The sequence below is a fragment of the Homo sapiens genome, chromosome 8 (genome assembly GCF_000001405.40).
Source record: "Homo sapiens chromosome 8, GRCh38.p14 Primary Assembly".
Lineage (NCBI taxonomy): Eukaryota > Metazoa > Chordata > Mammalia > Primates > Hominidae > Homo > Homo sapiens.
This window is the reverse complement of record NC_000008.11, coordinates 48,624,033-48,634,847: the sequence shown is the minus strand read 5'-3', so window position 1 is coordinate 48,634,847 and position 10,815 is coordinate 48,624,033. Positions and strand designations below refer to the sequence as shown.

Sequence of the window (10,815 nt, the reverse complement as noted above, 5' to 3'; positions counted from 1 at the left end):
ATCCGTCAATATGAGCCACTTGTGATGCAGCTGTCTGCAGAGCTAATGAAACCTTTTGCAGAAACAACAGAAAATGGGGGATGGGGTGAGACCCACTGAACTCCGGGAGGATCAAAACTCAGCCGTAGGACTTGCCCATTTCGAAAGCCCCAAGATGTCAGGCAGGACTGCGAGGCAGGGAACCAGCCCCGAGAGAATCTTGGCCCTGGCGCTGTGAGGAACCGTGAGAGGAACAGAAGAGGTGTTATGTGGAAGCGAGTCCCAAGGTGCGGTTGTGAGACGGCCTTCACTGTCTCAACGGAGCAGACAGGTCTGTGCAGCCTTGCTCTTTACAAACGGAACCCGGAGCAACGAATAACATTGGAGTAAAGAGCTTTATTTGAATAGGGAAGTATTCAACAGTGAAATCAACTGCCTTGAAAAGTCAGGAGTGGTGAGCAAGGCCTGTGCGACAGGTTGGGGAGCCAGCCAGACTACACTGCAGCTCATTCGGGCACTGAGCCTGTGAAAAATGCGGATGCAGGCCGGGCGCGGTGGCTCACGCCTGTAATCCCAACACTTTGGGAGGCCAAGGCGGGCAGATTACGAGGTCAGGAGTTCAAGACCAGCCTGGCCAACATGGTGAAACCCTGTCTCTACTAAAAATACAAAAATTAGCCGGGCATGGTGATGCGTGCCTGTAATCCCAGCTACTGAGGAAGCTGAGGCAGAAGAATTGCTTGAACCCGGGAGGCAGAGGTTGAAGCCAGCCGAGATCTCGCCACTGCACTCTAGCCTGGGAGACAGAGCAAGACTCTGTCTCAAAAAAAAAAGAGATGGTAACACATTCATCTGTACAATGGGATTCCTACTACAGGTATGACTAACAGTACATCATGATTGTTTGAAGATAATTAAATGCGACGAGGCACAGAAAGTGCTGCCTGACATGAAATACGCTCCTTTTGTCAACACATCTTAGTGTCCCATTGCTAGAAATCTTCAAGTCAGAGGCTGCCTGATAATGCTGAAGAAGAATGCCAACATTCAGCAGGAGTTTGGACTATAACAGTGGTTCATAACCTTGGCTGCGCTTTAGAGTCATCTGGCTGCTTTAACATTTTTCTCTACTCAGGCCAGACCTCTGTCTAATCAAATCAGAGTCTCCCAGCGGCAAAGTGAAATCTTGGAACCACGTGGCATGAAATGGTTAAAGGTATGAGGTCACAGCTGGGGTTGGGCAGTGTTCGTATTTTATCCCATCTTTCCACGGGATTCCGACGTGCAGCCAAATGTCCCAACGCTGGACTACAAGAAGTCCAAGGTCCCTCTCAGCTCTGTACTTCTATAATTCTGTATCTGGATTCCCAGCAGCTATTCCATGGAGCCATTCATTGGTACTCCTGCTTTCTCAGGGGCATCTTATAGAGGCAATGGACTTTATCCAGTTCCCTGGCTCTCCATTTGTGAATTGCAAGTTCAAGGCATCCAGCCTCTCTGCACTGTGTCCCCCACTATAAGACAGAAGCAGTAATGCTGACTGCTTACAATAATGATGAGTGAATAGAAGAATTCATGTGAAGTGCTTTGCATATCTTCCACACAGAGGGAGTTAATAAATAGGTGCTACTGTTATTAATGCAGGTATTAAAGGGCAGACTCTATATAAGTGGCCTGTTTAAAGAGCACCTAAACTAGTGCAATCCATAAAGAAATTTAATATAAATATAGTATCATAATAATTCAAAAAAATTTTTACAATGCACAAACCTGTTAGCTTAGTTTTCAAAACTTTTGCAAGAAACAATACATATGGTCATTTTTAAAAGACTGTGGAAGTTTCGTGGTGTTTTCTATAATTATTAACCAGGTTCAATTTTGCTATGTAATTAGAATGACTCTTCTTGGGTTATTTGAAATTCCAAAAGAATATTTTTAAAACTGACAAGGCAACTTTTAAATCTAAGAAACTTCACACATCCAATCCACAAATGTTAAAAGAATGGGATCAAGATAAGAACTATACCAAAAGCACTGTTAATGAAAGAAAAAATTTAAAATTAAAAACTTTCCACCTATGAAAGACACTAATATAGGATGAAAGGACAAATCATAGATTGAAAGAAAATGTTTACAGATCATGTATTTTTTTTTTTTTTTTTGATATGGAGTCTTGCTCTGTCATCCAGACTGGATCTCAGCTCACTGCAACCTCCACCTCTCAGGTTCAAGCAATTCTCCTGGCTCAGCCTCCTGAGTAGCTGGGATTACAGGTGTGTGCCACCATGCCTGGATAATTTTTGTACTTTTAGTAAAAACGGCATTTCACCATGTTGGCCAGGCTGGTCTTGAATTCCTTACCTCAAGCAATCTGCCCACCTCAGCCACCCAAAATGCTGGGATTACAGGCGCAAGCCACCTCACCTGGCCCACAAATCATATATCTGATAAGAAACATATCCAGAGTTTATAAAGAACTCTTAAAACTCAACAATAAAAAATAACACTAAAAAGAAGGGCAAATTTCAACAATGATGTATAGATGGTAAATAGCATGTAGACCCCAATTATCATTATAAAAATGCAAATTAACATTTTAATGAGTTACTACTACATACCTATTGAAAGGTGACGATCCTAAAACAAGATAATAGTAAATGTTATCTAGAAGGCAAGACAAAAATAATTCCTATTCACTGCTGGTGGGAAAGGAAAATGTCTTCCAATCTGGAAGATAGTTTGGCAGTTTCTTACAAAGTTAAACAGACATACCATAAAACCCAGCAATCCACTCGTAAGTGTCTACCCAAGCATATTAAAGAGGCATGTTCACAAGAAACCCTGTACACAAATGTTTATAGAAACATTCTTCATAACTGCCAAGGGTAGAAGCAACCAATATTGGATAAACAGCCTTGCTACTTTCATATATTGGAATATTATTCAGCAATACAAAGAAATAAAGCGACAAAAAGACATAGAGAAAATGTAAATGCATACTGCTAAGTAACAGAGGCCAGTCAGAAAAGGCCCCATACCAATAATTGCAATTATAGGACTTTCTGAAAATGGCAAAACTACAGAGACATTAAAAGGATCAAAGGGTGCCAGAAATTTTGGGGAAGCGGGGAGAGTTTAATAGGTGGAGCATAGGGTTTTTTTAAAGAGTTTAAACTAATCCGTATGATCCTATAATTGTGGATACAGAGTGCTATTTGTCAAAACACATAGAACTTTATGGCACATAGAATGAATCTTAATGGATGCTAATTTAAAACTAAAATTGTTCAGGAGGTCGAGGTACCCCAGGATGGAATGCAATATGTGACAAAAGAATCTAGCTGTATTAACAAACAATCTCCCCAAAGGGGTTAGGGTGGAAAAGTGTTGACTTAAGCAACTCTAGGAATGAGCAGGGTCTATAGGACTACAGACAAAAGAAACTGTCCGTAAGCACTCTACTTTAGTTGATAAAGCTGTTTCCCATGGGGGTACTGGTTAACAATTCTGATACTGCTATAGATGAACACTGGAAATGAATAACTAATGGATGGCAGATGGTAGGAGCCTGCTTCCTGCTTCTTACTGTTGAAGCGGGAGGTTAGAGATAAGCAAAAGAAAAAAGCTAGAATTACTCATGGGGTAATGGATGAGAGACATCAGTATGAATTTCTGTTTTGCTTAAAATAGACACAGCTAGTTTTATATATAATTATTTATAGATAAGTGTATATACCAGAGTTACTATACACACACATACCTCCACACTATGTAGGCTAAGAGGACCCAGAAACAAAAACACTCCAGGAGCACCAGCATGGTTTTAAATACCGTTCTCCAGTGAGAAGAACCAGGGCACACTGGAGAAATGGCTGAGTCTAGGCCTGGGACAGAAAATATGTAATATGAGTCAGGAGCATCTTGTAGTGCCAGAAAGTAAGAAAGTGCTAAAAAAAAATTTTTAATTGATGTGGAAGAGACACAGGAGCCAACTGAAATAGCTCCCATTGGACAAAGCTGGAACAATTCAGGCCACAAAATTAAGTCGTGTTGGACCATAACTCAAAGTATAAAATAAATGTCCATTAGTCCATACTCATATAACTAAATAAATGCCTGAATAAACAAATAAATACTTGGGAAGAAGAGACACATCTCCTATGCAGAAGAATTCCAAATAATTTATGTAGACATTTCACCCTGAAGGGGGTAAGCCTAACTCCCCACTCCTTAAGTGTGGGCTGTGCAGTCACCTCCTTCCAAGGAGCACAGGATGGGAGGGGGTGGCTTCACAGAGGAGATACCTGAGCACCACCACTGCAGCCAGGTGACCAAGGTTCACATCAGCAGTGATGAGTCGTGTTCATAGTATGTAACCTTGATATGACATGATGGAAATGGCAGTTTATCTCTGTGCAGAAAACCCACAACACCAGTCTAACCATGAGAAAAACATGTGAAAAATCTCAACAGCAGGACATTCTACAAAATACCTGACCAGCATTCCTCGAAGTTGCTAAGCTCATCAAAAACAAGCTAAGTCTGAGAAATTGTCACTGTCATGAGGGGCTATGTCAACTAATGTAATACGGTATCCTAGATGGGATGCTGGGACAGAAATAACGCAAAAAGGTCAAAACAAGAAAACCTGAAATAGGTATTGGCTTTGTGAATGTTTGTATGCCCCAGAGATTCATATGCTGAAAGCTAATTCCTGATGTGATGATATTAAGACATAAAGCCTTTGGGAGGTGACCAGCTCATGAAGGTACATCCCTTATGAATGGGATGAGGCCCCAGAGAGCTGCCTCACCCCTTTCACCATGTAAGGACACACAGAGAAGATGCCACCTACGAGCCAGAAAACAAGCCCTCACCAGACACTGATTATGCTGGCAGCTTGATCTTGGATTTTCCAGCCTCCGGAACTGTGAGAAATAAATGCCTGCTGTTTTTCCCTTACCTAGTCTATGGTGTTTTGTTATAGCTGCCCAAATGTACTAAGATCACTAATTGTCATATTAATTAATCACAAATGCACCATACTAATATAAGATGTTAATAACAGGGAAAACTGCATATGGACTATATGATAACTCTGTACAATTTCCAGTTTTTCTGTACATATAAAGCTCTTATAAAAATTGTTTATTTAAAAGTTAAAATGAAACTGTATATACACTATACTGTAGTTGGTAAAACTGTTTTAACAATTCAGAAAGTTCTTTATGTCTATACTAGGATTGAACAAATAAATGAATAAATGACAATAGGGGTCTGGTTTCTCATTGTCACAACACAAGTTATTTTTAAAAAAAAAAGCAAGAGAGGAAGTCTAGAATTAACCCTGGACTACTGGATTAGAGTCAGAGATATCAGTATAAACTTAACACTTAGTTTATCATTATATATAGAGAGATATACATGAATACAGAAGCAATTATAAATACATGTGTACACCTGGGTTAATAGCCACTCATGTATTTCCTAGCTCTGTCTGTTGGGGAAGGCCCAGACAGAATGACACCCTAGCAGCAATGAGTACAACTATGGCCAGATCTTGGTTTCTACATAATATCCTCCAATAAAAGAAACAAGGGCTCCTTGGAGAAATGGCTGATCCTAGGCCTAGGGCAGGGGATACACAAGATGACCTACAGCATCTTATAATGCCAGAAATCAAGGAAGTGCTCACAAAGCAAACAAATGAAGGCATGCCAAAGGGACCAGGAACCATCCTGAGAGTGCTGCCCGTGGACAAAGCTGGAAGAATCTGAACATCAAAACACAAAATATAGCATTGGATTATAGCTTAAGGTATAAAATACATATACATGAGTCCATACTGATTGAAATAAATCATTGAGTAAATAAATAAATGGGGAAGAAGAAACGAATTGTCCTTCAAGAAGCATTCCAAATAATCTGTGCAGATTCCCACCCAGAAGCGGGGCTCAGTTCCCCTCCCTCAGTGTGAGTGGGACCAGGTGACTCACTTCCAAAGAACAGGGTGTGGGAAGGGAAAGGTGGTGACTTTGCGGTGAGGATTCCTGGCAGCCAGCACCTTAGCCAAGTGATCAAGGTTAACATCAGTGATGTCATATTCACACCATGTACCCCTGATAGGAGCAGGTCACATTCCCTCTGTGGTATTCTTTCCACAAACCTGTAACCTCAGTCTAATCATGAGGAAACATCAGATAAACCCAAGCTGAGGAACATTCTACAGGTTTGTCTGACCACTACTCTTCAAAACTGCCACGGCCATGAAAAACAAAGACAGCCTGAGTGACTGTCTCAGAGGGGACTCCAGAGACACAACTAACTGTCACGTGGCATCTTCAGTGGGATCCTGGGACAGAAGAAGGCATCCGTGGAAAAGCCTGAGAAATTTGAATAAAGTCTGGAGCTTGGTTAACAGTAATTTACCAATGTTAATCTCTTAATTTTGACAAATATAGCACAATTATGTAAGATATTAATACATGAGACAATGGGGTGAAGGGTAGACAGGAACTTCTTGTACTTGTAGCTTATCTATAAAACCCAAGTTAGGTCATGCCTGTAATCCCAGCACTTTGGGAGGCCAAAGTGGGAGGATCACCTGTGGTCAGGAGTTTGAGACCAGCCTGGCCAACATGGTGAAACCCCACCTCTACTAAAAATACAAAAATTATCCACTCATGGTGGTGGGCACCTGTAATCCCAGCTACGCGGGAGGCTGAGGCAAGAGGATCGCTTGAACCCAGAAGGCGGAGATTGCAGTGAGCCAGTATCACACCATTGCACTACATCCTGGGTGACAGAGCGAGACTCCATCTCAAAAACAAACAAAAAAACAAAGTTAATCCAAAATAAAAACTTCATTAAAAATAAAAACCAAACATTATTTTACTCTCTTCTTTTACAGGGTTACAGTGTAATTTGTCAAGACTGTGAAGCCGCAACGTGATCTTATTTTTGTAAGATATAAAAATATACTGTTAATAATTGCGATATGTATCCTAAGTATCTATCATATCTGACAGGACGCGTGTGTCCGTCAGGAAGTGCTTGGAGGCACAGTGGCCCTCAAGCCTGGAGTCATCCTTGGCCCGCAGTGAGGCTCAGGTCTGTGCGCAGGTACTCACCAAATGAACCGAAAACTGCTCTGGGGGCGTTGGTTTGGGGGCAGCTGAACTGGGAGATCCTTGTGGAATAGAAGTTGCTTCCCAAAGATCCCAGAAAAATAGTACACTGGACCTAGCTCAGAATGATCCAGGGGCTCCTGGAGCCTTCTCCAACATAGCAGACCCTAGAGAGCAGCTGAGGTGTGGGGCAGGAAGCAGGATACCAGGATGACCCTGGGCCTCTCCACCCCAACCCTGCCTGTGCACCCCAGGCCCTGGAAGCTGGGCTGGGCTCCTGAGCTTGGCAGCCCAGGCAGTGGCCAGGCCCCTGGGAACCCCTGGGCTTCCCAAGGCAGGAGAGGACAAACAGGCCACCATCTCTTATAATTTCACCTCTTCACTCCTCAGAAGTTGGAATGTGTCATACCGGATAACATCTTAGAGTCAATGGTATTGCTATAAATTACATTCCAGAAAGATGATTAATAAAGCTGACTAAAGTCTGGCCGGGCGCAGTGGCTCACGCTTGTAATCTCAGCACTTTGGGAGGCCAAAGCGGGTGGATCCCAAGGTCAGCAGATCGAGACCATCCTGGCTAACATGGTGAAACCCCGTCTCTACTAAAAAATGCAAAAAATTAGCCGGGCATGGTGGCAGGTGCCTGTAGTCCCAGCTACTCGGGAGGCTGAGGCAAGAGAATGGCGTGAACCCTGGAGGCAGAGCTTGCAGTGAGCCGAGATCACGCCGTTGTACTCCTGCCTGGGCGAAAGAGCAAGACTCCGTCTCAAAATAATAATAAAAAATAAATAAATAAATTAATTAATTAATTAATTAATTAAAATAAAAAGTAGACTAAAGTCTGTGGGAAGGGGGAGGGGTAACACACACATCCTAGTGACTCTCCGGGACCGGAGAAGAGAATCAGCAGTGCCTGCTGTGGGATCCAGAAGCTGGGAATGAGGAGGACGAGAACCCCAGCCGATCAGTGTGCACGAGGCAAACCGGGCAGCTGCCCTGAGCCTGGGTCTGTGCCGCCCTCTTTGTCTTTCCTGTGCCCCTTATGGTGTCCCAGGTCCTCACACACAGACGCCGATGCCCTCTGGACATCACCTGCAATTCCAAAGCCCCCGTGACCCCTCAGCAAGGCCCCTTCTTCCTCAGATACCCCACAGCCCGGCTTCTTGTATCCACTGGCTCTCCTCCTCATCCATCTCTCTCTCTCTCTCTCACACACACACACACTCGCACTTACACACCTCCCACACATGCTCACACACTGACTTGCACAAGAGCATACACACACAAACACTTGCACACACCTCACACACATGCTCACACACAAACATGCACTACATACACACCACACTTTGTCACTTGCAGACGCACCTCTCATGCGCACACCCTCATTTGTACAACCTATCACACACAGATACACTCACACACATACACATTTACACATCACACATACTAACACGCTTACTTGCACACTTACACACATCTCGCACTCACATGCTCACACACTTGCACACACTACACACATTCTCATACACTCACGCAGCCAATTTACACACATCACACTCACACATTCACTCTCACATACATAAAAATACACCACACACATACTCATAAACACATCCTTATACACACAGACACATGCATGTCCACACACACATGCTCACACCCTTACACTCATACAGATATTCACATGCACAATGCTCACACACGTACATGTTCACACACTCACACATGAATACACACACTCACACACTTACATCCACATACATGAATACCCACACTCACAACTCTCACACACACAGTTGGCGCCCAGCTCCTAACTCAGGTTGTACGACTGGGGACCAGCACTGGGAGTCCCTGCGGTCCACTGCTGACAAAGCTCTAAAATAAAATCCCTGGCCCCGAAAGGCTGCTGGGGACACCAGAGGTTTCCTGGGCTGTTTGAATCAGGTCCTCCCTGCTCCGAGGGGAGGGAGGGAGAAGGTCTGGCTGGAGTGGGGAGGCCAGCATTGCCCAGTCTCCCGCCCTTCCCAGAACCCTGCCAGCACTCCACGGAAGCGCCTTTGGAGAGGCGCACAGACCCGTCCAGGGAGCTGGTCCTGGGATGCGCGGGCTGTGGGTCCCTCAGCCAAGGGAAATGGGATCCCCTGAGCTAGTTAGCTCTTTGGCGGCCTTGGGGCTCCGAGCTGTGCCGGCCCCCCAGGAGACACCTGCTATGGCTGTGCCCCACCCAGCCTGCAGAGAGTCCGCGGGGGCATGGGCCTCAGGGGGCGTTCACCAAAGCTAAGCTCTCCACAAAGATGCAGTGAGCACTTGCTGCAAACCAGGTGCCACCTCAGGGCCTGGGTGTGCACTAACTCCCCTCTGCTCATACGCACAGATGCGATTTGGGGAAAAGGACAGGAAGGCATCAAAGACCGCCCAGAGCCGCGCCTGACACTAACAGCCACAGAGCAGGGCTGGAAAGCCCAGAGGCCACAGCAGGTTCTGCGTCAGGTTAACAGCTCAGAGAGCCCTCTGCAGGGGCTGGCTTCAGGGTGCTGAAGGACCCAGGCATGGGGAGCAAGGGCAGGGGCGTCCTGGGCTGGGAAACGGCCAGGCCAGCGGAGGGACCAGCTAGTGCTCCAGGAAGAGGAAGACTAGCTATGGTCAGGCGGGCAGATCAGAGCTTAGTAAGCCAGGACAGGGCAGAAGGACCACGCTGATGTTATCAGGACACTGGGGGTTCCTGTGCGGCAGGGCAGTCATCTGATGACAGTTTCAAAAGATCCTCCGGGCAGCTGCGTGGGGACTCCGTAGTGGAAGGCCAGGGGCACAGGGAAGCCACATGGGGGCCTGTTGCCGGCCTGGGCCAGACAGGATGAGGGGGCTGAGGGCAGCAGGGCTGAGGGGAGGATGCCCGGGTGCACTTGGAGGGAGAGGAAGCGGTGCTCGTCAGCAGGCTGGGTGTGTGGGAGTGGGGACGGAAGGAATCGCGGAAGCCCCATTGTTTTCACTCAAGTGAACTGAGTGGGTGGTGGTCTCATTTCCTGAAATGAAAATTCTGGGGGTGGGGGAAGGAGAGGGGGTGGTGATAAAAACCTAACATGTATCCCTGTTAACTTTGAAATTCCCATTGGATACCCCAGTGGGCATGGCAAGAAGACAGGTGGAATTGTTGTGAGGTTGGAGGGAGTGGGCTCTGAGGCCCGCCAAGGATGGACAAAAGGACTGAAAAGTTCTTGGTATACAAATGGAATTTCAAACCAGGCCCTGGATGAGATCTCCTGGGTGCAAGCTCCATGTGGAGGGTACAGGGGCCCAGGCAGAGCTTGGTGTGCAGGGAGAGGGGACAAAATGAGGCTGAGAGAGAGAGTGGCAAGACGGGGGCAACGCTCTGAGGGCGATGAGGTGAGACGCAAGCACAGAGGCTTTCCAGAGCCCAGCTCAGCATAGAGCAGGGTGCACCCAGGGCTTCCCACGGCCCAGGCCACCTGCGCCAGAGGACCCTGATCCAAGTCCCTCCAGTCACACTATTCCCTCCCCAGGTTTTTTCATCAAACCAAGAAATCTCTCCACATGCAAGGCGACCCTCTTTGGAAACGTCTTCCCTACTGTTGCACTGACTAATGCATCTCACCGGGCTACAGCTCTGCTTGACTTTCTCGCCAAAATACAAGCTTGAGCTCCAATTGCCCAGGAGGTGTGCCATGGATTCTGAGAAAGCCTCCAT

General features: G+C 45.9%; 1 long non-coding RNA gene across 1 annotated transcript in view, besides 2 other annotated features; it reads right to left on the bottom strand.

The window, feature by feature from the left end:
- LOC101929268 (uncharacterized) overlaps positions 1 to 10,815 on the bottom strand; it is a 146,944-nt gene that overhangs the window by 63,663 nt on the left and 72,466 nt on the right. The gene's annotated exons all lie outside the window — the stretch shown is intronic.
- Positions 6,428 to 7,627: an enhancer, noted in NCBI's record as "P300/CBP strongly-dependent group 1 enhancer chr8:49539781-49540980 (GRCh37/hg19 assembly coordinates)". NCBI's record gives its function as "activates an origin of replication core promoter dependent on BRD2, BRD4, P300/CBP, MED14 and CDK7 cofactors, with strong dependence on P300/CBP, by STARR-seq in HCT116 cells {active_cell/tissue: HCT116}" and the evidence as "EXISTENCE:reporter gene assay evidence [ECO:0000049][PMID:35650434]".
- Positions 10,200 to 10,704: an enhancer, noted in NCBI's record as "H3K4me1 hESC enhancer chr8:49536704-49537208 (GRCh37/hg19 assembly coordinates)". NCBI's record gives its function as "activates a minimal SCP1, AML or CMV promoter by ChIP-STARR-seq in primed H9 embryonic stem cells {active_cell/tissue: H9 hESC(primed)}" and the evidence as "EXISTENCE:reporter gene assay evidence [ECO:0000049][PMID:30033119]".